The sequence below is a fragment of the Homo sapiens genome, chromosome 17, assembly GCF_000001405.40.
Source record: "Homo sapiens chromosome 17, GRCh38.p14 Primary Assembly".
NCBI lineage: Eukaryota > Metazoa > Chordata > Mammalia > Primates > Hominidae > Homo > Homo sapiens.
This window is the reverse complement of record NC_000017.11, coordinates 2,246,730-2,274,606: the sequence shown is the minus strand read 5'-3', so window position 1 is coordinate 2,274,606 and position 27,877 is coordinate 2,246,730. Positions and strand designations below refer to the sequence as shown.

Sequence of the window (27,877 nt, the reverse complement as noted above, 5' to 3'; positions counted from 1 at the left end):
TACCATAGAAGCTCCTAATCTCTGTTATCCAAATAGAATGTAATACGTGTCTGTCTGTTTTCCTTTTTCTCTATCTTCACCCAACAAATGATTTTGTTTACCTTGTTCTCTCTCCTTTTGCTCTTCTTCCTTCTGTTACATATCATTATCTATTTTATTTATTTGCATAATGTCTTTTTTCAGGACTTGTTCAGGTCTGGAGAATTTAATGCAGTTGCCCCTGAGTTTTTGGAGTAGAAGACCATGTTCTGGGCTCAGTGCTTAAGTAGACTAAAGTTTACCTGTTCTGTTGTGCCAGTTTTGTGCTAGGATTGTAAAGATGAATACACTATTGTTACTTTCTCTGATTGTGTAGTCTAGTGTATAGGTCAGCAAACTTTTTCTATGAAGGGCCAGATAGTAAATTACTTTATAGGGCATATGTTCTTTGTTGCCACCACTCACCTTTACTGTTGTACCACCAAAGTAGCCATGGACAATATGTAAATGAATGAGCATGACTGTATTCCATTAAAACTTTATTTACAAAGACAGATGGTGGATTGAATTTGGCCTGTGGGCCTAGTTTGCCAACTTCTGTTCCAGTGGAAGAAATGGTTACATAAATAGAATACAGTAAACAGTTGATTCTTGTTATTTGTGGTGGTTATGTTCTATACATTCAATAAATTCACCACAAACACTGAATTAGTGAATAGTGGATTGTTGCTCCTAAGGGAAATACAGAATTACATTCCTTCAAGCCTCTGATCACAACATTTTAATCAACTGGTCAATATATAACCTTGCTTTTTTTGGGTTTTTTTTTTTGAGACACAGTCTCACTCTGTTGCCCAGGGTGGAGTGCAGTGGCGCGATCTCTGCTCACTGCAACCTCTGCCTCCCAGGCTCAAGCGATTCTTGTGCCTTAGCCTCCTGAGTGGCTGGGATTATAGGTGTGCGCCTGGCTAATATTTATTTATTTATTTGTTTTTGAGACAAAGTCTCACACTGTTGCCCGGGCTGGAGTGCAATGGCACAATCTCTGCTCGCTGCAACTTCCGCCTCCCCGGTTCAAACGATTCTCCTGCCTCAGCCTCCCGTGTAGCTGGGACTACAGGCACCCGCCACCATGCCTGGCTAATTTGTGTATTTTGGCCAGGCTGGCCTCAATCTCCTGACCTCGTGATCCACCCGCCTCGGCCTCCCAAAGTGCTGGGATTACAGGCGTGAGCCACTGTCCCCAGCCACGCCTGGCTAATTTTTATATTTTGAGTAGAGCCAGGGTGTCTCTGTGTTGTCCAGGCAGGTCGTGAACTCCTGACCTTAAGTGATCCGCCCACCTCAGCCTTCCAAATTGCTGGGATTACAGGCATGAGCCACCACACCTGACCAGTTATATAACCTTGTTTTATGTGGGTTTCTGTTTAAAGACACCTTATTTAATATATATTATTAATTCATTAACAGAGAGCTCACTGCCTAACAGCACTATAACTCATAGCTGAATGAGGCTTATCTAATACACATTTTCCCTGTAAAACACATCACAGCCTTCTTGCACTTAGGGAGTCACACACTTCGGCACACTCCCCAAGCACAGTGGTGTGGGGGCCACGTGAGACAACAAAATCACCAACAAAAATCTCAGAAATGTGATACTAAATACACCATGAAAAGGACACTTTTTTTTTTTTTGAGACAGAGTTTCTCTCTGTCCCCCATGCTGGAGTGCAGTGGCGTGAACTCAGCTCCTCCGCCTCCTGGGTTCACGCCATTCTCCTGCCTCAGCCTCCCGAGTAGCTGGGACTACAGGCGCCCACCACCACACCCGGCTAATTTTTAGTATTTTTAGTAGAGATGGGGTTTCACCGTGTTAGCCAAGATGGTCTCGATTTCTTGACCTCATGATCCGCCTGCCTCGGCCTCCCAAAGTTCTGGGATTACAGGCATGAGCCACCGTGCCCGGCCAAGGACACTTCTAAGTATGACCTGAAATACGAAGGCAGAGAGTTGCTTTTTCTGACCTTAGTTAGCTAGGAACATGCACCTCAGGTGACTCAAATTTTGTGCTGCTCTGTGCATGTCTAGGAATGACTGTGAAAGCATCATGAGTAGTGATTTGGGGGTTACAAGTAAGTTTTAGCAAGTAAGTGAATTCACAATGCAAAATCCATGAACAATGAAGGTTGATTGTATTGTGGTGGGTGCCAGGAGGGAGGTATGTATTGGGTACTGTGGAAGCACAGAGAGAGGCTCTTGGTCCAGCCCTGGCAGAGGCATGGTTTGGGGTGAGGAGAGAGGAAAGTGAATTCAGAAGGCTTCCTGGAAAAGTTAACTGGGCAGAGTGGGAAGAGAGTGTTCCAAATAGAAGTAATAGCATGAGCAAAGACAGAGAAGGTGTGAAACAGCAGAGGGCTCACAGGGCACCTAAATCTGTGGTAATTTGGAGGCCAATGTGAGAAAGTTGGAGGGTAGAGAGGAGGCTGAGCCTTCTGCCAGAGCCACATTCTAGTTTGGTGCCATGGTGTGCACTTGGGAGGTAGTCAGGGGGCTGATCTCCCATAAGATACCTTAGGATTCTGGAAATAATAATTTGTTTCTGGAATTTCTCACTGTTTACTTGTCATGTCTGCATTGTTAATTGAGCAAAAGCAGCACTATTCTATCCATTAAATTTGGTAGGGTGGAGATTGACTGAATCTTTTACCCCACAGTTTGCTGACTTAAAAAGTTGAAGGGCTATTCTTTTAGACAATGCACTTAGGCATTTTGAACTCAAACATGCTAGTGTCTCTCTGTGTCTTGGTAGTTGGAGGAAATTGCCAGTGGTTTGGGTTAAGTAGGGCAAAGCCTTTTTTCTTTTTAATTAAAAAAAATTTACAGCTTTTTATTTTTATTTTTATTTTTTTTGAGACGGAGTCTTGCTCTGTTTCCTAGGCTGGAGTGCAATGGTATGATCTCGGCTCACTGCAATCTCTGCCTCCTGGGATTAAGCGATTCTCCCGCCTCAGCCTCCTGAGTAGCTGGGACTACAGGCGCCCGCCATCATGCCCAGCTAATTTTTGTAGTTTTTAGGAGAGACGGGGTTTCACCGTGTTGGCCAGGCTGGTCTCGAACTCCTGACCTCAGGTGATCCACCCACCTTGGCCTTTCAAAGTGCTGGGATTACAGGCATGAGCCACCATGCCTGGCTGCTTTTTAAAATGTATAGGCTGGTTTCAAACTCCTGGACTTGGCTGGGCATGGTGGCTCACACCTGTAATCCCAGCACTTTGGGAGTCTGAGGCAGGCAGGTTATTTGAGATCAGGAGTCCAAGACCAGCCTGGCCAACATGGCGAAACCCCGTCTCTACTAAAAATACAAAAATTAGCCGGGCATAGTGGTGCATGCCTGTAATTCCAGCTACTCGGGATGCTGGGAGGCAGAGGTTGTAGTGAGCCAAGATTGCACCACTGCACTCCAGCCTGGGTTGTGGAGTGAGACTGTCTCAAAAAAAAAAAAAAAAAACCAGAAAAAAACAGAAGAACAATTTCCTGGACTCAAGCAATCCTCCTGCTTCAACCTCCCAAAGTGCTGGGATACAGGTGTGAGCTACCACGCCTGGCCTTATTTTTCTGTTTTATCAAAGTAACACAATTAAAGTTACAACTGTAGGCCTTTCCTCCTGTGTGTAGAGAGAAACTTCTCAAGCCACATGAATAGAGCATAGAGAGTTCAAGAAATGTTAGGCATCTGATAGACCAATTATTGTTTCGAAAGATTGAGTCTGAAAATGCCCATTTCGTAAGGAAGCATCTTGAACTAGTGACACCTTGGGGAATGGGGCATTAATTTGACGCCCCCTGGGCATGGAAAGTTGATGACCTTGTTTCAAAGGCTGGGGTGTAGTTGGAAAAGTGCCTAGGCTGTAATGCCGGAGTTGGTTTCTAAGTTAGTGGGAATAGAGGTTGAAAGAGATCACACAGAGGAGTGATTGCCTTTTAAAGTATTTTAGTTGAAGAATTTTTTTTTTCCTTGAGACATGGTTCCTCTCTGTTGTGCAGGCTGGAGTGCAGCAGCATGATCATCGCTCACTGAAGCCTCCATCTCCCAGGCTCAAGTGGTCTTCCTGCCTCAGCCTCCTGAGTAGCTGGGACTACAGGCATGTGCCACCATGCCTGGCCAATGTTTTTTATTTTTCATAGAGGAAGGGTCTCGCTGTGTTGCTGAGACTGGTCTCAAACTGAGCTCAAGTGATCCTCCCACCTCAGCCTCCCAAAGTGCTAGGATTACAAGCATAAACCACTACACCTGGACTCTAAAGAACTATTTTCAGTAGGTCATATATTATGTAGGTGTATATGTGATTATTTTTCTTCTCTTGCATTATTAGTGGCATATTATACACACTGGTATATTCACCTTTTTTTTTCCCTATTGCTACTGGACTTCGGAGATCCTTCTCTGAGTAATTGCCCTCAAATCCATTGTATCTCTCTAGAGCCTGGCTGATAGCCTTCATAATTTTGTCTAGTATTTGTATGTCAGAGCCAGGATAGTGCAGAGCTTTGGAAAGTCCTGAGTTCAAGTGCTAGTTTTTTTGTTTTTTTCGTTTTGAGACAGAGTCTCACTCTGTCGCCCAGGCTGGAGCATAGGGGCGCCATCATAGCTCACTGCAGTCTCAAACTCCTGGGCTCAAGCCATCCTCTTGCCTTGACCTCCCAAAGCACTAGGATTACAGGCGTGAGCCACCATGCCTGGCCTGAAGTCCTACTTTTATCAGATATTAGCTGCGAGACTTTGGGCATGTTCTGTAACCTGGCTGAGCTTTAGTTTTCTATCTGTAAGATGATGACAGTGATAACCTTGTTTCCCTAGGGCTGGAGCTCATAGTTTCTGCTTGGAATTTTGCATGCTGCCTCTTCCCAAATCTCTCGTGATTTTCTTAGAGGTGCTATTGAAAGTTGAGAAGGACAGTTTTCTTTCTGAGTTGGAATACGTGGCTACACAAAGTTGGATAGTATATTTTCTTTTTGCATTTAATCAGTAGACCAGCAAAGTGAAAGTTGGTTAGCAAAGGAGCATGGCTTCCCTGTGGAAAACCCAGGCCAGGTGGCCTGTAGCACAGAACGTTCACCACATGCTCAACTTGTTGTATTTGCTTGAGGGCTATTTTTTTTTTTTTTAATGTATAGTTTTTTGTTTTGAAAGTGTGTTATGTAGGTGGCATTTTCTTTTCTTTCTTTTTTTTTTGGGACAGAGTCTCATGCTGTCACCCTGGGCTGGAGTGCAGCGGCACGATCTCGGCTCATTGCAACCTTCGCCTCCCAGGTTCAAGTGATTCTCATGCCTCAGCCTGCCAAGTAGCTGGGATTACAGGCACCTACCACTGCACCCGGCTAATTTTTTTTTTTTTTTTTTTTTTGAGATGGAGTCTGGCTCTGTCGCCCAGGCTGGAGTGCAGTGCTGCGATCTCGGCTCACTGCAAGCTCCGCCTCCCAGGTTCAAACCATTCTCCTGCCGCAGCCTCTCGGGTAGCTGGGACTATGAGTAGCTGGGACTACAGGCGCCTGCCAACATGCCCAGCTAATTTTTTGTATTTTTAGTAGAGACGGGGTTTCACCATGTTAGCCAGGATGGTCTCGATCTCCTTACCTCGTGATCTGCCCGCCTCGGCCTCCCAAAGTGCTGGGATTACAGGCGTGAGCCACCGTGCCTGATCGTTTTTTTTTTGAGACGAAGTCTAACTCTGTCGCCCAGGCTGGAGTGCACTGGCGTGATCTCAGCTCACTGCCAGGTCTGTCTCCCGGGTTCATGCCATTCTCCTGCCTCAGCCTCCCAAGTAGCTGGGACTACAGGTGCCCGCCACCATGCCCGGCTAATTTTTTTGTATTTTTAGTAGAGATGGGGTTTCACCATATTAGCCAGGATGGTCTCGATCTCCTTACCTTGTGATCCGCCCACCTCGGCCTCCCGAAGTGCTGGGATTATAAGCGTGAGCCACCGCTCCCGGCCTAATTTTTGTATTTTTTTAAGTAGCGATGGGGTTTTACCATGTTGACCAGGCTGGTTTCAAACTCCTGACCTCTAGTGATCTGCCCACTTCGGCCTCCCAAAGTGTTGGGATTACAGGCATGAGTCACTGCTCCCCACCCAATATTTTCTTTAGACTCATCATTTGTCTTTTCAGTGCCCCTTGCGTAGTTTGTGCACCTGAGCTGCTGCTGCTGTGAAAGCTGCTGTGTATGAGTGGTACACATCTAATTCCTCCACCCTCCCCGCAAAACAATTATAGATCAGAGCATGGTTTTATAAGGTTTCCTTAGACAAGGTGACTTGCTTTCTGTTGGAATGAGTTCTAATTCCTAGAGTTGTATCATGAGGCTTTAGGTTTATAGTTTGAGAGCCAGTACCCATTATGAAGCTTAGAAAAAGCTTTTAGACTGGACACAGTAGCACATGCCTATAATCCCAGCATTTTGGGAGGCTGAGGTGGGAAATTGCATGAACCCAGGAGTTGGAGACCAGCCTAGGCAACATAATGAGATGCCGTCTCTAATAATAATAAAAATATTTCACTTAAAAAATACATAAATAAGGCTGGGTGCAGTGGCTCACGCCTGTAATCCCAGCACTTTGGGAGGCCAAGGCAGGCGGATCCCGAGGTCAGGAGATCGAGACTACCCTGGCTAACACGGTGAAACCCCGTCTCTACTAAAAATACAAAAAATTAGCCGGGTGTGGTGGCAGGCGCCTGTAGTCCCATCTACTCGGGAGGTTGAGGCAGGAGAATGGTTTGAACCTGTGAGGTGGAGCTTACAGTGAGCCGAGATCGCGCCACGGCACTCCAGCCTGGGCAACAGAGCGAGACTCTGTCTCAAAAAAAAAAAAAATAATAATAAAAATAATTAAAAATACATAAATAAGTAAATACATTAAAAAAGAAAGCTTTTGGCCTGGTTCTCTCTGGATAGCACAAGCACTGATTTAATCTATAATGATAAAGAATAGTTGAGTCTCTGCACTAGTAGGTAAGTGCTTTATCTGTGATAACCCAGTTATTTCATTGTCTCATAATTATATCATCATGACAGAGAAAGCCAGCTTAATTTTTTGGCCTCATGGATATAAAGACTCCATATCTTGCTGGGAACAGTGACTCAACGCCGGTATAATCCCGGCACATTGGGAGGCTGAGGCAGGAGGATTGCTTGAATCCAGGAGTTCATTCATGACTAGCCTTGACAACGTAGGGATACCCTGTCTCTACTAAAAAAAAAAAATTAGCCAGGTGTGGTGGGTGGTCCTAGTTACTCGGGAGCCTGAGGTGGGAGAATACTCTGGTCTGGAAGGTTGAGGCTGCAGTGAGTCTTGACTGCTCCACTTCACTCCAGCCTGGGTTACAGAGTGAGACCCTGCCTCAAAAGAAAAAGATTCCGTATCTGTAAGGTGGGCATCAGAAAATTTTTTAGGGTTTTTGTGAGTTGACTTCATGTCTTTAATTAGTCCTATGCTTTTGTAAAGTAGTTTGCAATATGTACCTCAGGCTGTACTCTTCACTCTGGAAGCTATTTGAAAAGTGTGTGAACTGCAGTTTGGCAGCACGTGATGACAGCAGTTCATTAGAGCCTCTTTCTGTGGGAAGAAGCAGATTGGTTTTCTTTTTCTTAGGCCATGAGAAACAGCTTAGTGGGATCCTCAAAGAAGGTCAGAACCAGAACCGGGTTTTTCAGATGTTGATAATGTGAGGTGGGTTGCAAGGAGCAGCCCCTGGTAGGCAAGGATTGGGGCTGCTTTGTCCAGATCACTGCTGGACTGTAAGGCTAATGTCTTTGTGGTTGGTAGTGAGTGCAAGTTTCTCAAAGTACATCAGCCCTACCTATAAACCCTTAATGCCCCAAATGACCTCGGTCACCAAACCACTTCAGGGCTTTATTTTTATCCTATCCGTTTTGTTTCAATATGTGAGGTTGGTTTCTTTCCTCTAACAGAGCAGAGTTCTCTGGGGGAAGAAACAGAGTGCCAGGGTGCTGCTGAGGCTGGTTAAACACCAAAACCACACTCTTCATCTTTCTGGGGTTGAGACGTGACATAAGCCATGCTGCAAACGCCAGCTTCCACACTGAAGAAACCTCTCTCAGTAGTCACTTTGTTTATTTTTTGTGTATTGTGTTTTTAGGCAAATAAAATATAGAGGAGTAAATGGTGTACCTTCCCATTCTGCTGTAGACAGAGATCTAACAATGAGCACTTGCTTAAAATCTGCCATTTCCCAGCTTAAGGTTTTTCATCCTCCCCGAGAGTGTTGATGAGAACTCTCAAAACTCACCAGGTCTCAGGAAGCCGGATTACCAGCATATCCTGTTCGCGTGCGTGTGTATATTCTGTGTTACCCACAGGCCACTTTCCACCCCACGTGACCTTTAGTTACCATCCGGAAAGTCAGGACCCAGATACCCGTCAGAATTTCCAGGCCTTGGTTTGGTTTAGACATTTTAGAAGATGTTAACAGCAATAATTGTAAAAGACTTTGAGTGGCACGCATGGTGAACAGAAAGTACTAGATCCTGAAGAGGGGGGAAAGGCATTTCTGTGCTCTTCCTGGTAAAGTGTTTGAAAATGAACATTCAGAAGAAAACCTAAAGCACCTGAAATGCACAGGGGACGAGAATGAGAGGTGATTAGAAGCCCAACACATGCACCAGTTCTTAGGTGGTAAGGCTAAGTTCTGAAGTTCATATTTCATTCTTTAAGATTGTCATATGCATTATTGGTGTTGTTTATAGCATACTCCATCACACTTTATTTTAACCAGCATCTCTAAATTAATATAAACAGACTAATGATTCAGGTAATACCCTAGAACAGGGATGGGCAAAATATTGCCAGTGGCCTATGAGCTAAGAATGGTTTTTACATTCTTATGTCAGGAGTTGTTTAAAAAGAGCAACACGAGACAGAGATGTACGTGGCTCACGAAGCCTAAATTATTTTCTGTGACCTTTTACAGAAAAAATTTACCACTGCTGTAAAAGCTGGGAGAGGTGAATGCAGTTAATGATAAGGTTCTTCTGTTAGGAAATTGATTGTTAATGAGAATGTTATCGCCTTTTAAGCAGACAGTTTTTTTTTTTTGAGAGGCAGTCTTGCTCTGTTGTCCAGGCTGGAGTGCAGTGGCGCAATCTCAGCTCACTGCAACCTCCGCCTCCCAGGTTCAAGCGTTTCTCCTGCCTCAGCCTCCCCAGTAGCTGGGACTACAGGCTCCTGTCACCACCCGCTGCTAATTTTTGTATTTTTAGAAGAGATGGTGTTTCGCCATGTTGGCCAGTCTGGTCTCGAACTCCTGACCTCAGGTGGTCAGCCTCCCAAAGTGCTGGGATTACAGGCTTGAGCCACTGTGCCCGGCCGACAGTTCTTCATTATGCAGGTCTGACCTTGCAGGATGTTTAGCGTTCCTGGCTCTGCTCATTAGATGCCAGTAACGGCCCACACATACTTCCAAACAGTTCCTGGGATGGGTGGTCATATTCTGGTTGAGAACCACTACTTTTGAAGCTTGACAAGGTCAAAAACATTTTGTTAAGGTTTACTCCTTCATTTCCTCTCAGAGAACCTGACTTGGGATTTGGATCTTGATGGCCTAGGGATTAACAATAGTGAGAGAATTTGAGTAGCTAGTGGAATAGGGAGAGTTTTCAGTAGGGTGGAATACAAGATTTTAAGGAAATTTTTTTTTTTTTTTTGAGATGGGGTTTCGTTCTGTCACCCAGGCTGGAATGCAGTGGCGCGATCTCAGCTCACTGCAACCTTCGCCTCCTGGGCTCAAGCAATCCTCCCCTCCCAGCCTCCTGAGTAGCTGGGACTACAGGCACACACCACCATGCCCAGCTAATTTTTGTATTTTCCGTAGAGACGGGGTTTCACCATGTGGGTCAGGCTGGTCTCAAACTCCTGGGCTCAAGCGATCCACCCACCTCAGCCTCCCAAAGTGCTGAGATTATAGCTATGAGTCACTGTGTCCAGCCTAGGAAGTAATTTAATGTTGCGTTTGTTGCTTGACACCTATTTTAAGAATTGAGATTGATTTGTGATTTATGAAAGGTTTGTTTTGATGTTGCTGGTGTTGTGAAAAGCACATTCCTCTCTATGTGAGAGATGGAGTAGCCATCTTTGGCCTTAATATCCAGATGATTTTGAGGTCTGTGGGAATCTGTATGGTGTACTTGAGGGACTTGTTCAAAGCCAATGTAAAGATGTAGTTTTGGCATCTCATGAATAACCTGATATCCCGACTTAAGCCAGAACTCTGGCATTAGAGAATTTTCCAGCTTGGGAGAGTTGACTGAGAAAAGTCCTCCTTTGGCTCCTTGCCAAGTTAGACAAGGGAGCAATCAGCTGCTGAGTTCCAGCCAACTGGAATGTACGTGAGGGGGTACTATAAATCGTCCCTTAGGATCCAGCTTGTGGTCTGTGAAGAGCCTTCCAAATAAGAATGAGACCTGTACATTGGATCCTTGTTCAATCTGCAGCTGCTATAGGAAGGAGTAGTGAGGTGATGTTACTCTGGGAGCAGCTCACTTTATATAGTAACACACTGCCTGTTATGTGGGGTAAGACTGCACTACCCTTTATGTTTTTCCCGTGTTGCGTTTCTCACCAACTTCCTATATTGGTTTTTGTTTCTGACTGTTCTCTTGGGGAGCTGTATCCATAGTTTGATCATTCTGTAAAATCCCTCTTTGCTCTTAAAGGTGCCAGAATTTCATCTCTCTACCCTCTTTTCAACATCTTAGATCTGATGTATTTGAGCTAAGATAGAGAATATGAAATCGTTGTTTTCTTGGCTCGTGATCCTTCCCCAGTCTGCGGGCTGTTTGTTTGACTCCAGGGGGAAACTCCAGGTTCTTCCCCTCTTGGAAGCCTTTCACTTTACTCATAAATATTTAGTATTGAAGTGAACTGTGCTCTTTTTTTTCTCCCTAGTATGAGTGGATAGACTCTCTAGACCAGAAAGAATTTAAAATACTATCTGTACCCTCTGTCTTTCTGATGTTTTGGTTCCTATAAAATGTATTAACCACACATTTTTATTTTTAAGAGCTTAAGTGGTTTTTTGAGTTGTCTTCCATCTTCTGATCCAAAATTTGTTGAGCATTTATTATAGAAATCACTAGGCACCTCTCCTGCTACTGTTTTTTCCGTGTCGTTCATGCTTAGAACCATCAGAGAGCTATGTAACTAGGTAACATTGGTTACTAGTAGTACTGCTTTTACTGATTTGTACTTGAGTGTGTCATCAGCCTCTATGAAGATACATAAAAAAGAGACCTAGAGAAGGATTGCTGTTTGTGTTGCGTGGTGTCTTTGTGGAAGCCTGTGGAAGAAATTTCTGCTCTTAGTAGAAAATGGGTTTCTTCAACCTCATGCACATTTGTAAGATTGTTATAATAGCAAATTTGTGAATTTTTAACCCAGAATGATTCTCTATTTTAATTGTTCCAGAGGTTGTAGCCAAACTTCCTTTAGTAAGTGTAAAGGGCGTTTATCTTCGGTCGTGACCTTACTGTTTGGTGACCTCTTTATCTTTTTCTCTTTGGCTTCTCTTTCTTGTTTTTATCTATTTTATCTTACAGTATAGTATATACCTTTGTATGTTGCCTAAAATAAGTGGCTTCAAAGTTTTATATAGATATTTTTTCTCTTTTCACTTGCCCATTTTGCTGTAAAACCTCCTCTGAGGCCAGCTAGTAGTCTCTGAGGAAATCAAGTTTTTCCCTGTCCCAATTCAGGTCATTTCCATAAATATTCATGGAGCACCTTTATATATTGTTATTCTAGGTACTGCACACAGAAAAGTAAGTGATGTTGGTCCTTCCCTCAAAAACACAGTCTAGTAAGAAAAAAGGATATGTAAATAAATACTTGCAATAAAGTGTTATAAATGTAATAATAGAAATATATACACTGGACAGAGGTAAAAGAGATTAACTCAGGGTGAACAGGTAGAGCGACCTAGAAAGGTAATCTTTGTCCTTAATTTTGCAAGTCAAAGAAGTATTTTAGGTAGATGTGGTCAGCTGACTTTTCTGGCAGAAGGAACAACATGGATAAAAACATAGCATGGTTCGAAACTGCAAGGAATGGTTGCTTCTGAGATTCCCAGCCAAGATTCTGTCATTATAATGTCTTGGGCCATGGTACAGATGTCCACATTGGTGCTGTCTGATCACTCAGTTGGAACTGAAGATTCATCACAATGTAGATAGATTTGAGCTTTTGATTTGGCTCAAGCTTAGAAGTGAATCCTTCAAATAGTTCTTTCTCTGCTTTATTTTATGTATTAGCAAAGGTTGACTCACTCTAAAGTCATGCCTTCCATCATTCTGGGAAGCTTTCTGAGCCAAGCCCAGCTTGGCTTAGGAATAAGTTATGCTTTGTGTTGTAATCATTGGCACTAAGTCCTATTCTTGACTTTCACACACACAGTAGGACTGCAGCTCCTGATGCGTATGGGAAAGAGGAATTGTGATAATACTCGCTATGGATTTACATTTTTCTGGGATTTTTTTTCTTGATAAAGATGCTAAAACCTTATTCTTGCTATTGAGATTTTGAGTTTACTTGTGCCACAAATCTCTGAGATGCTAGGTCCTAATTTGTCAAGCAAACTATGTTAACACATTTGACATTCTCTTCTGAGGAATGTCTTTGGCAGGTTTTCCTTTAGACTTCTGGACAGATCTATAAAACTCTATGGCTTTTGAAATACTTGCAAGTGACATATGTCAAAAGGTTGAATAAGGCACTAATAGTGCCCTTCGTGCTCCTAGGAAGCTGTCACTTGTGGTCACTGCAGACCAGGAGTGAGATCTTATGGGTTGCATTCCTAAATTTCTTTTTGTTTGCATGAACAGATTTTTTAATCTCTTTCCTTGTCTTTACATCCGTACACTGGGGATATAGCATACACCATCAACACATCTGCACAGCTTTGTCCACCGAGGGGTAGCAGAAAGTTGTTTATTATAGCACCAGTCATCTGCATGTCTACCACCTCAGAGTTAGAATAATGGTGGGGATTAGGACATATGGGGCAAAGGGTATTTATTGGCTGTGAAACAAAGGCTTTTTGTGGACTAGTAGAAAAAGTTGTGGCAATTTAAAAAATTATTGCAGAGTTAAAAGAAATCTTCCAAAAATATATATACACAGAAAAGTGCACATAACAGAGCCATACAGGTGATAAATTGTGACAATGTAAGCATACTTGTATAACCAGCAGTTTATTTACTTGTATCGCTGTCATTCTTCTCTTCCCTTTTTTTTTTTTTGAGACGGAGTCTCGCTCTGTCACCCAGGCTAGAATGCAGTGGTGCGATCTTGGCTCACTGCAAGCTCCGCCTCCCGGGTTCAAGTGATTCTCCTGCCTCAGCCTCCTGAGTAGCTGGGACTACAGGTGCTCGCCACCACACCTGGCTAATTTTTTTTTTTTTTGTATTTTTAGTAGAGAAAGGGTTTCACTGTGTTAGCCAGGATGGTCTCGATCTCCTGACCTCGTGATCTGCCCTCCTGGGCCTCCCAAAGTGCTGGGATTACAGGCGTGAGCCACCGCGCCCGACTTTTTTTTCTTTTTTCTTAAATATATTTTTGAGATAGAGTCTTGCCCTGTTGCCCAGGCTGGAGTGGAATGGCATGATCTCGTCTCACTGCAACCTCCGCCTCCCGGGTTCAAGTGATTCTTCTGCCTCAGCCTCTCAAGTAGCTGGGATTACAGGCACCCGCCATCACACCCAGCTAATTTTTGTATTTTCAGTAGAGACAGGGTTTTGCCATTTTTGGCCAGGCTGGTCTCAAACTCCTGACCTCAGGTGATCCACCCACCTCGGCCTCCCAAAGTGCTGGGATTACAGGCATGAGCCACTGCGCCCGGCCTCTTCCCTTTTAACTCTAAACTCAAATTTTTTTCTATACGTTTAATGATAGCAGTGACAGAGCATTTTAAATAAATTAGGAAGAAGTTAATGCCCATGTTTTCCTTGCTTTGTGGATCCTTGTTAAGATTGATTTTCATTGTTCAGAGACAGAGGACGAAGAGAGAATTTGGAAGATAAAGAATTGGATCAAAGATAAAAGATTTGAGGTGTTTGCTTTGACTTTTGAACTACAGAGTTTGGGTCTGGGAACCAGCACAGAAAAGATTTGATTGACCAAAAAAACTAGCTGGAAGCAGGCCTTGCCTCCAGTCACAGTGAAACTGAGTCTCTCACCAACAGTGCTGTGGTTTACAGCCTTCATCTTGAAGCATCTGGCTGTGGGGGGGGAAAGTGACATCATGGCCTGCCTTCTCCTGGACATGCTTGGTTCAGCTCAGATGTGGAATCCCAGAAGATCTGCAATGCGTGTTTCTAGCCTTGTTTTTAGTGTCAAGGCGAATGCCAGGCTGTAGCAGGCCATGTTGTTGTCTTTGTGTAATCCATTTGTATTCTAACAGTTTTCTTCTTTTTCTGCTGCTAGCTGCCAGGGAGGTAGAGTTGCCTCTGTTGATAAAGAGCAGATACAGAAGTTCACATCCAAACCTGAATGACCATTTTTAACTTGAAACACTTTTCCTGGGAGTTGATGCGCCAGAATCCTTCCCTTATTTGGTGCCTTGCTTAAATCTGAAGCTCGCACAAGGTAGCCAAAGCTCCCTGTGTGCTGGTTATTTGCTTTATGGCAAATAACCACAGCAGAGTGGTTTGTGAAACCGTCTTTGTGACCACATCTATCTTAAACTGAAGCTTCGTTCTCCTTTGGGTTCTTAGATTAGTTCGTGCTCCTCCCTTTCCTGAGAGATTCAGGGGTTTTCCTGTATGGCGTTAGGTAGGTAGAGAGGTTATATTTTCAAATATTTTTCTGGACTGTGCACAGTCCCTTTATTAGTGTGCGAATGCACACATATTCCTTGAACTTTTTTTTTTTTTTTTTTTTTGGAGACAGGGTCTCGTTTTGTCACCCAGGCTGGAGTGCAGTGGCACGATCTCGGCTCACTGCAGCCTCAACCTCCTGGGCTCAGGTGATCCTCCCACCTCAGCCTCCCAACTGGGACTACAGGCGTGTGCCACCATAGCTGGCTAATTTTGTTTATTTTTTGTAGAGATGAGGTCTCACTGTGTTGCCCAGGCTGGTCAAACTCCTGGGCCCAAGTGATCCTCTTACAGGCATGAGCTACTGTGCCCGTCCTTGAAGGACTCTTTCCTTATTCATCAGGCTCCTGTTGCTTTATCACCATGAATAAACTTGTTCAGTTTTACAATTTTATCTTTTATCTCTTCTTACTGATACTATTTGAGGGTGCATGTTGTTACATGCTTCTGCCAACTTGCATGGTATTGTCTGGACTGGAAGTATTTACTTACCTTAATCTCCAAGACTTCTCTGTTGGTTTGGCCTGGTGGTCTCTCGGTGAAAGAAAGCTGAAACCATTGGTGGGTTTTGTTTGGGGCTTTTGCTTTTGGTCTTTATAGAAACATTCTCCGTGTCTGTCTCGGTTCTGCTGAAAAAGTTGCCTTTTGTTTGTGTGTTTTTGAGATAGAGTCTCGCTTTGTCGCCCAGGCTGGAGTGCAGTGGTGTGATCTCTGCTCACTGCAACTTCCGCTTCCTGGGTTGAAGCAATTCTCCTACCTCAGCCTCCCAACTAGCTGGGATTACAGGTACATGCCACCACACCGTGCTCATTTTTGTATTTTTAGTAGAAATGGGGTTTCACCATGTTGGCCAGGCTGGTCTTGAACTCCTGACCTCGGCCCCCCAACATGCTGGAATTGCAGGTGTGAGCCATCGCGCCAGTTCCTTTTTTTTTTTTTTGAGCTGGCGTCTTGCTCTGTCACTGAGGCTGGGAGTGCAGTGGCGTGATCACAGCTCACTTCACCCTTCACCTCCTGGGCTCAAGCAATCCTCCCAACTCAGCCCATAGAGTAGCTGGGACTACAGGCTGCACCACCACGCCCAGCTAATTATTTTTTCGTAGAAACAAGGTCTCTCTATGTTGCCCAGGCTGGTCTTGAATTCCTAGGTTCAAATGAGGTTGCCTTTTTTTTTTTTTTTTTGAGACAGAGTCTTACTCTGTCGCCTAGCCTGGAGTGCAGTGGTGCAGTCTTGGCTCACTGCAACCTCCATTTCCCAGTTCAAATGATTCTCCTGCCTCAGTCTCCCCAGTAGCTGGGATTACAGGCATGTGCCATAACACCCAGCTAATTTTTTTGTGATTTTAGTAGAGATGGTCCTTCACCGTGTTGGCCAGGTTGGTCTCGAACTCCTGACCTCCGTTGATCTGCCTGCGTCAGCCTCCCAAAGTGCTGGGATTACAGGCGTGAGTCACTGCACCCAGCCAAGGTCGCCTTTTTTAAAAGGCGAGAAATAAAGAGCTCAGGCTCTAGGCAAGTCAATTAACCTCTTTGCTGTTTTCTGTAAGGAAATAATAGTAGTACTTATCCTCACAGAATTGTTGTAATGTTAACAGACGCAAAGTGCTTAGAGTAGTGTGCTACACATAGAAGATGCTATAGAAGTTTTGACCATCTATATATGTATATATATGTGTGTGTGTGTGTGTGTGTGTGTGTGTATATTTTTTTTTTTTTTTTTTTTTTTTTTTGCGACAGAGTCTCGCTTTGTCGCCCAGGCTGGAGTCCAGTGGCATGATCTCAGCTCACTGCACCCTCCGCCTTCTGGGTTCAAGTGATTCTCCTGCCTCAGCCTCCTGAGTAGCTGGGACTACAGGCATGTGCCACCATCAGCTAATTTTTGTATTTTTTTGTAGAGATGGGGTTTCGCCATTTGGTCAGGCTGGTCTCGAGCTCTTGATCTCGTGATCCGCCCAGCCCCCCAAAGTGCTGGGATTACAAGCATGAGCCACCAGGCCCAGCCAGGAAAATTTCAATGTACTGTAAAGTTTGGGAACCACTGGGCTGGAAGATAAATACAAAGGCCCGAGTTGGGAGCATACTCATCACATTTAAGGAGCAGAAGGAGGTAGTGGAGTAAGATTATATAGGTCTTTTGTAGGCCATTGTAAGGACTTTGGCTTTCATTCTGATGTTAAGTGTAGTCTCTTTTTGCCCACTCACTTAGGCTGGAATGTAGCAGATGGAATTGCTACTACTCAGGATCAGAATCCTTAAATCCTGACAGAAATACCTTTTCCTTTAAATACCTTTGGGGGCCAGGCGTGGTGGCTCGTGTCTATAATCCCAGCTACTCAGGAGGCTGAGGCACAGGATTCTTTTGGCCGGGCGCAGTGGCTCACGCCTGTAATCCCAACACTTTGGGAGGTGGGCAGATCACGAGCTCAAGAGATGGAGACCATCCTGGCCAACGTGGTGAAATCCCGTCTCTGCTGAAAATACAAAAATTAGCTGGGTGTGGTGGCACGTGCCTGTAGTCCCAGCTACTCGGGAGGCTGAGGCAGGAGAATTGCTTGAACCTGGGAGGCGGAGGTTGCAGTGAGCCGAGATCACGCCACTGCACTACAGCCTGGGCAACAGAGCGAGACTCTGTCTCAAAAAAAAAAAAAAAAGGAAGAATCCCTTGAACCTGGGAGGTGGAGGTTGCAGTGAGCCAAGATGGCACCACTGTACTCCAGCCTGGGCAACAGAGTGAGACTCCGTCTCAAAATAATAAATAAATAAATACATACATACATACATACATACCTTTGTCTGGGTTTTGCCACATTACTCTCCAAAAAGAAGTGGATTTAAATTCTCACAGATAGTGATGTGTATGCTCTTTCCCTACAACATTCATCTCTTTTTCTCACGAGTTTTCTTGTATATATTGCCTGGATAACCTATTTAATCCGTATCAAATCTGTCTATCTATTTTTTTTAAAAATTAAGTCTCACTGTGTCTCCCAGGCTGGAGTGCAGTGGCACCATCACGGCTCACTGCAATCTCTGCCTCCCAGGCTCCAGCAGTTCTCCCACCTAAGCCTCACAAGTAGCTAGAACTACAGGTGTGCGCCACCATGCGTGGCTGATTTATTTTATTTTATTTTTATTTTTTGTAAAGATGGAGTTTTGCCATGTTGGCCCAGGCTGGTCTCAAACTCCTGAGCTCAAGCGATCCACCCGCCTCAGCCTCTTAAGGTGCTGGGATTACAGGCGTGACCCACCGTGCTTGGCCTTTAGTCTTTTTAAAATACTCATGCTTGGTTCTGCACCACCGCTAGTCTGTAAATTAAGTTACTTGGAACTAGAACCACTGAGACTTAAAGACAGGGCTCATGATTGTCCAAGTGTGGAATGACAATCTTCACATCTTCCCTCCCTCTGTGTTTCCATTGCCAGTGGATGATTGCAACAACAACCTTTTACCTGGTCTCCTCACCTCCACACACTTGACTCCACCCAACCCCTCACCCCTCAAAAAAACCCTAAGTTTTCTTTTTTTTTTTTCTTCTTATTTATTTATTTATTTATTTTATTGATCATTCTTGGGTGTTTCTCGCAGAGGGGGATTTGGCAGGGTCATGGGACAACAGTGGAGGGAAGGTCAGCAGACAAACAAGTGAACAGAGGTCTCTGGTTTTCCTAGGCAGAGGACCCTGCGGCTCTCCGCAGTGTTTGTGTCTCTGGGTATTTGAGATTAGGGAGTGATGATGACTCTTAATGAGCATGCTGCCTTCAAGCATCTGTTTAACAAAGCACATCTTGCACCGCCCTTAATCCATTCAACCCTGAGTGGACACAGCACATGTTTCAGAGAGCACATGGTTGGGGGTAAGGTCACAGATCAACAGCATCCCAAGGCAGAAGAACTTTTCTTAGTACAGAACAAAATGAAAAGTCTCCCATGTCTACTTCCTTCCACACAGACACAGCAACAATCTAATTTCTCTATTCTTTCCCCACCTTTCCCCCCTTTCTATTCCACAAAACCGCCATCGTCATCATGGCCCGTCTCAATGAGCTGTTGGGTACACCTCCCAGACGGGGTAGTGGCCGGGCAGAGGGGCTCCTCACTTCCCAGAAGGGGCGGCCGGGCAGAGGTGCCCCCCACCTCCCGGACGGGGCGGCTGGCCGGGCGGAGGCGCCCGCCACCTCCCTCCCGGACGGGGCAGCTGGCCAAAACCCTAAGTTTTCTAAACATCCAGAACAACCTTTACAAATACAGGTTTGCTCATGTCACTTCCCTGCTGAAAACCCTTCAGTGGCTTTAATGAAGATCACATTCTTTTTTTTTTTTTTTTTTTTTTTTTTGAGACGGAGTCTCGCTCTGTCGCCCAGGCTGGAGTGCAGTGGCGCGATCTCGGCTCACTGCAAGCTCCGCCTCCCGGGTTCACGCCATTCTCCTGCCTCAGCCTCCCGAGTAGCTGGGACTACAGGCGCCCGCCACCACGCCCGGCTAATTTTTTGTATTTTTAGTAGAGACGGGGTTTCACCGTGTTAGCCAGGATGGTCTCGATCTCCTGACCTCGTGATCCGCCCGCCTCGGCCTCCCAAAGTGCTGGGATTACAGGTGTGAGCCACCGCGCCCGGCCGAAGATCACATTCTTTAACAAGGACCTGTCCAACATGCCCTGCCCACTTCTCCAGACTTTCTTACAGAATCAATCATCTAGCCATGCCAGTCTACAATGTACCACTTTTGAGAACATCATATATGTTGTTCCCTTTGCTTAAGACACACCAGGACGTGACTCCCTCTCCTCTCCAAAACCAACTGTTTCTTCAACCCTCACTTTTCAACTCAAAGGTCTTTTCCTCTGAGAGGATATCTCTGGTGCTGCTTCTGTATATTTCCACAGCATCCTAGCCTTCCCCAGTCATGGCACTTCATAATTGTCTGTGTTACCCATAGAGGAAGGATTATCTCTGCCTTGTTCACAGCTTGTGCACTGTGCTTTGTACATAAAATGTGCCCAGTAGGTTTTTGTTGAATGAATAAATGTATGGGTCCATGTGTGAGGAAGTCTTCACCATCCCTCTTACGCTGTGTCAACCTGTTGATTTATAAGATGGGTTTGATGGCCGAGCACGGTATCTCACGCCTGTAGTCCCAGCACTTTGGGAGCCCGAGGTGGGCAGATCACTTGAGGCCAGAAGTTCAAGACCAGCCTGGACAACATGGCAAAACCCCGTCTCTACTAAAAATACAAAAATTGGCCGGGCTTGGTGGCACGTGCTTCTAGTCCCAGCTACTTGGGAAGCTGAGGCACGATTGTTGCTTGAACCCCAGAGGCGGAGGTTGCAGTGAGCTGGGATTGCACCAGTGTACTCCAGCTTGGGCCACAGAGCAAGACTCTGTCTCAACAACAACAAAAAAAATGGGTTTGAGCTTATGTATGTGCTCTTGGAAAACTGTTATCTGGTTGTCCATGGGATCACGCAGTGGGAGCTTCAGCCATTTCCTCTTCTCTCTCACTTCCTGGAGTGCAGACACAGCGTGTCCTAGCTCCCCTACTATTTGGGTGGATGGGCATGAGAGTTCCCAGGCATGAGAGAGATGAGGCAGAAAGAAGAGTCATTCAGAAAGTAACTCAGTCAGAGCAACAGTGTTGCCCTTTGGCTGAACTTTCTTTCTCTTTTTCTGTGTACCTGGAGATGCTAAGCTGGTGGCACATTTGAGTTGGTTGTTACAGATTGTCACACCACAGCATAGGGATTCATAAATCTTAATCTGGCACTTTCCTTTGATAGGGATGTTTTGGGAAACGTCCAGGAGCCCTCTGGCCTAAGTGAAGTCTCCGTTGGGCTTGGGTGTGTTCTGTTTCTACCCTGCAGGTGGAAACCTGGAGAGTCCCATTTATATTTCTCTGTAGCCTTTGGAGTGTGTGACTGTCCGAGAGCAGGAGTCTTTGGCATTTGGTGTCACTTGTGCTATCATAGAATGGGATGGTGCTTACACAGAAGCTGGCAAGAAAAGTTATATTTACTTAGAATTATGCATTTGTGGGCTCTTAGCATTGGGAGAAATACTGAAAATTGGTGCTTCTCCTGTGGTGGTGAGAAGTGGGTGGATATCAGAATATTCTGGTGGCGGAGGGGGGTCTTTTAAACCATACTCTTCATCACTACCCATCTTCACCTCTTAGCTCATGAGAATCGTGACTGTTTCCAGTACACGTGTGTGGTAGCTCTGAAGTGCGGTGCAGGAAGAAACATCTTTTGAGACACCAGCGTTGTAGATTATTTAGCCCAGGTATCAGCAGACATTTTTTTTCTGTAACGATCTGGATAGTAAATATTTTAGGCTACTTTGGGAGACCGAGGCGGGCGGATCAGGAGGTCAGGAGATCGAGACCATCCTGGTCAACACGGTGAAACCCCATCTCTACTAAAAGAATACAAAAAATTAGCCAGGCGTAGTGGCAGGCGCCTGTAGTCCCAGCTGCTCAGGAGGCTGAGGCAGGAGAATGGCGTGAACCCGGGAAGCGGAGCTTAGAGTGAGCCGAGATCGCGCCACTGCACTCCAGCCTGGGTGACAGAGCGAGACTCCATCTCAAAATAAATAAATAAATAAATAAATAAATAAATAAATAAAATAAAATATTTTAGGCTTTGTGGGCCATGTGCCCTCTGCTGCAGCTACTCAGCTCTGCCTTTGTAGGGGGAAAGCAGCCACTGACAATATGTAAACAAATGAGGGTGGCTGTGTTTCAACAGAATTTTATTTATGGAAACTGAAATTTATATTTCATATAATTTTCATGTCATCAAATATTCTCTTATTTTTTTTTTCAGCCATTAAAAAAATGTAAAAACCATTCTTAGCTCATGGGTCATACAAAAACAGGTGGCAGGCTACATTTGACCCATGGCCATAGTTTGCCAGTGTCTGATATAGCCCAGTGGTTTCCAAATCTGGCTATCTTTCACAGTGACCTGGAGACCTTTAAAAATGTTGATTCGAAGTGCCCCTCTCTCGTCCTTGAGGATTCTGATTCTGTAGGAGTGAGGAATCTGTATTTTTTATAAAAGCTGTTCAGGTGATAGACATACACTCAGGGTTGTGGAATTAGCAGTACTGATCTCACTCATTTAACTGTTGAAGAAACAGCCCTAGAAGATTTATGTGACTTCCTGATAATTAACAGCAAATAAATGGCATGACCAAAATTCGAACCCAGGTTTTCAACTCTTAAGATCAGCGGTCTCTGTTCATACCATTCTGTCATATTCCTTCCCCCAGTAAACACATGAGCAGTAAATACAAAATACTGAACATATTCGTGGCTCCTTCTTTTCTTTTCTTTATTTTTTTTGAGTTGGAGTCTTGCTCTGTCACCAGGCTGGAATGCAGTGGCGCCATCTTGGCTCACTGCAGTCTCCACCTCCCAGGTTCAAGCAATTCTCCTGCCTCAGCCTCCTGAGTAGCTGGGACTATAGGCACACCCAGCTAATTTTTGTATTTTTAGTAGAGACGGGGTTTCACCGTTGGCCAGGATGGGCTCGATCTCTTGACCTCGTGATCTGCCCACCTCAGCCTCCCAAAGTGCTGGGATTACAGGCGTGAGCCACCGTGCCCGGCCTCCTTCTTTTCTTTTTTTTCCTTTTTTTTCTGAGATGGAGTTTCGCTCTTGTTTCCTAGGCTGGAGTGCAGTGGTGCGATCTTGGCTCACTGCAACCTCCGTCTCCTGGTTCAAGCGATTCTCCTGCCTCAGCCTCCAGTGTAGCTGGGATTACAGGCATGAGCCACCACGCCCGGCTAATTTTGTATTTTTAGTAGAGATGGGGTTTCTCCATGTTGGTCAGGCTGGTCTCGAACTCCCGACCTCAGGTGATCCGCCCGCCTCGGCCTCCCAAAGTGCTGGGATTACAGGCATGAGCCACTGTGCCTGGCCCCTTCTTTTCTTTATACCTGGTGCCAGTTTCCTTTCTGAGAGCCAGCCAGGTACTCTGAGCTCGGCTGTCCCTCTGCTGGTTGGCTGTGTTTTCTGGAGCTGCCTACTGATTTAGCTCAATTTCCCTCAGTCTGCTGGCTTTAACTAGGAGGGATAACGAAGTAACAAATTGCTTTAGTATAAGAGGCAGCACTAAACTGCAGTGCAAAGTTGAGAGGCATTGTTTCAAGGGGTGCGTTAGTTGGAAGAGGTAGTTTTAAAAGGCACATTTTACACTTAAATTCACATGTCTCAGATCTAGCCATCTTAAGTGGGACATCTGTACAGGAACTTATGTTTAATTGAAGCTAATTGAGCTGTCATCCAGCCCTGAACAGTTCTGGAGTGGAGGAAGTAAAGGGTGAAGAGCTGTTGCCATCCCGGTTCTACCTCAGCCTCAGCGTGGCTCTTTGGTCCAAGTAAGGGGCCTAAGGGTTGATTTGATTTGCTACATCTTCCTACGAGGCATTTGAGTCACGCTATTTGGTTTTCCCGTGCTTTTTTTTTTTTTTAATCTGTATATCCTGGAAAGAGGAATGCTGAAAGTACTAATAATGAATAACTCTGTCTTTACTGAATGATTATTGCATTACTGATGGGTTTCCACATTTTTTGTACCAGGCCCCCCTTCCCTCATTTTTTTTTTTTCTTAGATTCCATCTCATCTCTGTGACAGGAAAAATGACAGTAAGGGAAACACAGTGCCTCCTGGAACCTTCATAGGCCTTGTCTTAGGTGTGGGAGCATAAATGGCCAGTGGGCAAGTTGGTATGTTATTTATCTTTGTTCTTGGACTATAAGCTCCTTGGCATCAGAGACCCTATCTTGTTGGTTTCCTCTTATGCCCAGCATAGGAGCGCAGGGATGAGGATGACGTGTGAACAACATCACCAGTGCGCCCACATCCTCCTCCGCCTTGTGATCTCATTGCTTGAGAGAGACTGATAAGTGGGCTTTGATTGAATGCTGTGAAAGTCCTGGCTGTTTTACTAACAGGTACTCATGAAATTTGGTCTCCACCTATGTTGTCTCATATCTAAGAGGATAGATCCCTTTTCTAAAATGCAAGAAAGTTTTGTTTTTTTAAAAATATATGGGGCCAGGACCAGTGACTCATGTCTGTAATCCCACTACTTTAGGAGGGTGAGGCAGAGGATCGCTTGAGCCCAGGAGTTTGAGACTCCTTGGCAATATAGTGAGACCCCGTCTCTACAAAAAATAAAAAACTAGCCAGGCATGATTGTGTGTGCCTGTAGGCCCAGCTACTTAGAAGGCTGAGGCGGGAGGATCACTTGAGCCTAGGAGGTCTAGACAACAGTGAGCCTTGATTGTGCCACTGTACTCCAGTCTGGGTGACAGAGTGAGACCCTGTCTCAAAAAAAAAAAAAGTGTATATAAAAATAGAGACATTCCATACAGATAAGAGAATAATAATTTATGCTCCTCAAAATCACTTTAAAATGCACTTTGGAATTCCTTTAATACTGACTACCCTTACTGTCCTTAAAATGATTCACTTTTCAGAAATTCGGTTTTTCACACGACTCTGTAGAAGCAGGAACGACTCTTTCGGAACTGAAATTGGGCCTGTTTCAGAATCCCCTCCTCTTGCGTTGTTGCCTCTGAGCAGCTTCTCTCTCCTTCCTTGCTCCACAGTCACCAAGCCCTTAGACACAATTTTGAGTGATAACTTTCAAGGCTTGTGTAAAACATCTACTCCTCAGACTACTTTAATTTGTATTATTTCATTTCATCCTTTTAGTTCTGAATTAGGTAATGTCAGTGGTAGAAATTCCATTTTACAGTCCAGGAACAATCCAAAACATTTTACTTATAATCCCACAGTTAATGACAGGACGGACTTTATTGTGTGTCCAGAGACCTACCCATCCATCTACTGCCATTGGTGTCTCTTTGGGTTGAGCTCAGGAGTCCACAGTGAATTTGTTTTGGACTTGAGCTAAGGAGCCAGAAGACCTTTAATAATTCTAACACTACCTCTCAGGGATACACCCAAGAAGCATTTTTGTTTCAGTGAACAGTAGGTAAATATGTAAGGAAGATCTGAACGCAGGTGGCCTCACAATTTGAGAAGTAACATTTATTTTCCACCTGACCGAGAACCATCTAGGTGTATTGTTAAAAATGAAAAAAGTCTGCCAGGCAAGGTGGCTCACGCCTGTGATCTGAGCACTTTGGGAAGCCAAAACTGGAGGATTGCTTGAAGCCAGGAGTTTGAGACCAGCCTGGGCAACAAAGTGAGGAGACCAGCCTGGGCAACAAAGTGAGAACCCCATCTCTACAAAAAATGAAAATAAATTAGCCCTGCACATTGGTATGCGCCTATAATCTTAGCACTTTGCGGGCTAAGGTGAGAGGATTGCTTGAGCCCAGGAGTCAGAGGCTGCAGTGAGCCGTGATGTTGCCACTGCACTCCAGGCTGGGTAACAGAGTGAGACACTGTCTCTAAGATAAATGATAAAAATTGAAAAGTGGTAGAAATGGAAGCCAGTCCATGCTGATGTGTTAGGAAGGAAGAAGGAAGCTCGGACTAAGGTTTTTGTGACTATGGGTTTGGGGTCAGTTAAGAGTTCTCGCGGTGGCTCACGCCTGTAATCCCAGCACTTTGGGAGGCCAAGGCGGGCGGATCACAAGGTCAGGAGATTGAGACCATCCTGGCTAACACGGTGAAACCCCATCTCTACTGAAAATACAAAAAAAAAAAAATTAACGGGGCGTGGTGGCGGGCGCCTGTAGTCCCAGCTACTTGGGAGGCTGAGACAGGAGAATGGCGTGAACCCGGGAGGCGGAGCTTGCAGTGAGCTGAGATAGCGCCACTGCACTCCAGCCTGGGTGAAAGAGCAAGACTCTGTCTCAAAAAAAAAAAAAGTTCTCCAAAGTATCTGTCTCAGTGCTAGTTGACTTCATATTGTCTCTTGTAAATGTTGTTTAGGTCCGATTTGATCAATATGTAACAAATCTGCTCCTTCATGTCACATACCTTCTAGATGTATCTACATTTTTAGCTCCTTTCCTAATTGAAGTGTTATTGATGACAACAAAGAGAAAGTATGTTTAACAGTGACCTTCAGACTAAAAATAAAGCGGTGGTTCTCATTAACTAAGGTTAGGGAGAGTGTGTGTATAGTTTGAAAAGGTTATCTGAGATTTTCTTCACTCCCACTAGTTGAAAAGTAATGCATTGAAATCGACTTTTTGCAGTTAAAATACGGTAGTGGCAAGTACAGACTCAGGTAATTAGGTGGGCTTCATCTCCTACCCTAAGGGAAGGATGTTTGTGAAGTACACATAGAAGCACAGATGTTCCAAACCTCTTGGGGCTCTCGTTTTAGTCCAGGAGGTGTTGTGGTTCAAACAGTATGAGTTTCCTACCTAATCAGGAAGGAAAACTTAAAAGCAAAACTTGAACGGCTTCTTAGTTGCTCTTATTCCCTCGTTAGCCCTTGGTTGAATCAGCTCACCAGTTCTTTTCCCCGAGATAGGTGTAGGATAAGAGAAAGAAAACTGTGTTTGGAATCTGAAGACCTGGGTTCAAGTTCTGACTCTGCCATTTACTAAAGTAAAGTTGCTTAAATTTCTGAGTTGGCTTGGGGGATGGTATTTAGGCTTGAATGAAGTGGGTTAGTATCTTTTTATTTTTATTTTTTATTTTTTGAGATAGAGTCTCACTCTGTCTCCCAGGCTGGAGTGCAGTGGTGTGATCTCGGCTCACTGCAGCCTCCGCCTCCCAGGTTCAAGCGATTCTTCTGCCTCAGCCTCCCAAGTAGCTGGGACTACAGGTGCGTGCCACCACGCCTGGCTGTTTCGTTTGTTTGTTTGTTTGTTTGTTTAACAGATACTGGGTTTCACCATATTGGCCAGGCTGGTCTTGAACTCCTGACCTCATGATCTACCCGCCTCAACCTCCAAAAGTGCTGGGACTACAGGCGTAAGCCACCATGCCTGGCCTGTATCTTTTTTCTTTTTTCTTTTTTTCTCTGAGACAGTTTCATTCTGTCCCCTAGGCTGGGGTGCAATGGAGCAATCATGGCTCACTGCAGTCTCCGCCTCCCAAGTTCAAGTGATTTTCCTGCCTCAGCCTCTCTAGTAGCTGGGATTACAGGCACCCACCACCCGGCTAATTTTTGTATTTTTAGTAGAGACAGGGTTTCAACATGTTGGCCAGGCTGGTCTTGAACTCCTGACCGCAGATGATCTACCTGCCTTGGCTTCCCAAAGTCCTAGGATTACAGGCGTGAACCACTGCACCCGGCTGTACAAGTAACCTTTATATATAACCAGTTTATGAAAGACTTAGGATATAAATAGAACCAGTTTATAAGGGATTCCTTCTGATTATGAATGAATTAACCAATTTATGATTGACATCTATAGGAAGAGGGATAACCAAGTTAAAATAGGAAGAGAGAGAGAATGTGTATTCTTAACTTTTTATTTGAAATAACATCCTATCTGTGGAAAAGTTGTAAGAATAACACAAAAAACTCCCACATATTCTTCTCCCAGATTCTCCAGTTGCTTCATTTCACCACTTGCTTCATCATTTGTTAGGAGAGAATGTTAACAATTGAGTGTTTACAGGTCAAGCGAGCATTTAGATCCGTTGCCTAAGATCCCACCGCAGGTAAATGGCAGAGGTCTTTCATGGGAAGGTCCCTGTTTCTCACCATCTTCCTCTACTAGGAAATCTAGAGATCTGCATTCTGGCCAGGTTTCGCCACTAATGTTGGTGTAGCCATGGGCAATTTATTTTGCAGCTGTTCCTCACTCTTGTATTCTAGTGTTTTTGTGTTTTGTTTTGTTTTATTTTTTGAGACAGAGTTTCGCTCTTTGTTGTCCAGGCTGGAGTGCAATGGTATGATCTTGGCTCACTGCAACCTCTGCCTCCCGGGTTCAAGCGATTCTCCTGCCTCAGCCTCCCAAGTAGCTGGCATTACAGGCACCTGCCACCACACCCAGCTAATTTTTGTATTTTTAGTAGAGACGGGGTTTCACCGTGTTGGCCAGGCTGGTCTTGAACTCCTGACCTC

At 44.7% G+C, this 27,877-nt stretch overlaps 1 protein-coding gene across 13 annotated transcripts in view, besides 5 other annotated features; it reads left to right on the top strand.

Annotated features, from left to right (window-relative positions):
• Positions 1-27,877, top strand: part of SMG6 (SMG6 nonsense mediated mRNA decay factor) — a 243,947-nt gene that overhangs the window by 29,179 nt on the left and 186,891 nt on the right. Inside the window, exon 9 of one of the 13 annotated variants that reach the window (XM_047435698.1) lies at positions 23,676-23,803. The exons of 7 other annotated variants lie outside the window; for them this stretch is intronic. In XM_047435698.1, coding sequence (XP_047291654.1) covers positions 23,676-23,771 — 96 coding nt within the window. In that variant the 3' untranslated portion in view covers positions 23,772-23,803. 5 more of the 13 variants (XM_011523774.3, XM_011523775.3, NM_001256827.2 and 2 more) reach the window with 5 other exon arrangements.
• Positions 7,311-7,600: an enhancer, noted in NCBI's record as "active region_11489". NCBI's record gives its function as "activates an Ori minimal core promoter by ATAC-STARR-seq in GM12878 lymphoblastoid cells {active_cell/tissue: GM12878}" and the evidence as "EXISTENCE:reporter gene assay evidence [ECO:0000049][PMID:35858748]".
• Positions 8,491-8,700: an enhancer, noted in NCBI's record as "active region_11488". NCBI's record gives its function as "activates an Ori minimal core promoter by ATAC-STARR-seq in GM12878 lymphoblastoid cells {active_cell/tissue: GM12878}" and the evidence as "EXISTENCE:reporter gene assay evidence [ECO:0000049][PMID:35858748]".
• Positions 14,762-14,891: an enhancer, noted in NCBI's record as "active region_11487". NCBI's record gives its function as "activates an Ori minimal core promoter by ATAC-STARR-seq in GM12878 lymphoblastoid cells {active_cell/tissue: GM12878}" and the evidence as "EXISTENCE:reporter gene assay evidence [ECO:0000049][PMID:35858748]".
• Positions 15,172-15,371: an enhancer, noted in NCBI's record as "active region_11486". NCBI's record gives its function as "activates an Ori minimal core promoter by ATAC-STARR-seq in GM12878 lymphoblastoid cells {active_cell/tissue: GM12878}" and the evidence as "EXISTENCE:reporter gene assay evidence [ECO:0000049][PMID:35858748]".
• Positions 20,574-20,853: an enhancer, noted in NCBI's record as "active region_11485". NCBI's record gives its function as "activates an Ori minimal core promoter by ATAC-STARR-seq in GM12878 lymphoblastoid cells {active_cell/tissue: GM12878}" and the evidence as "EXISTENCE:reporter gene assay evidence [ECO:0000049][PMID:35858748]".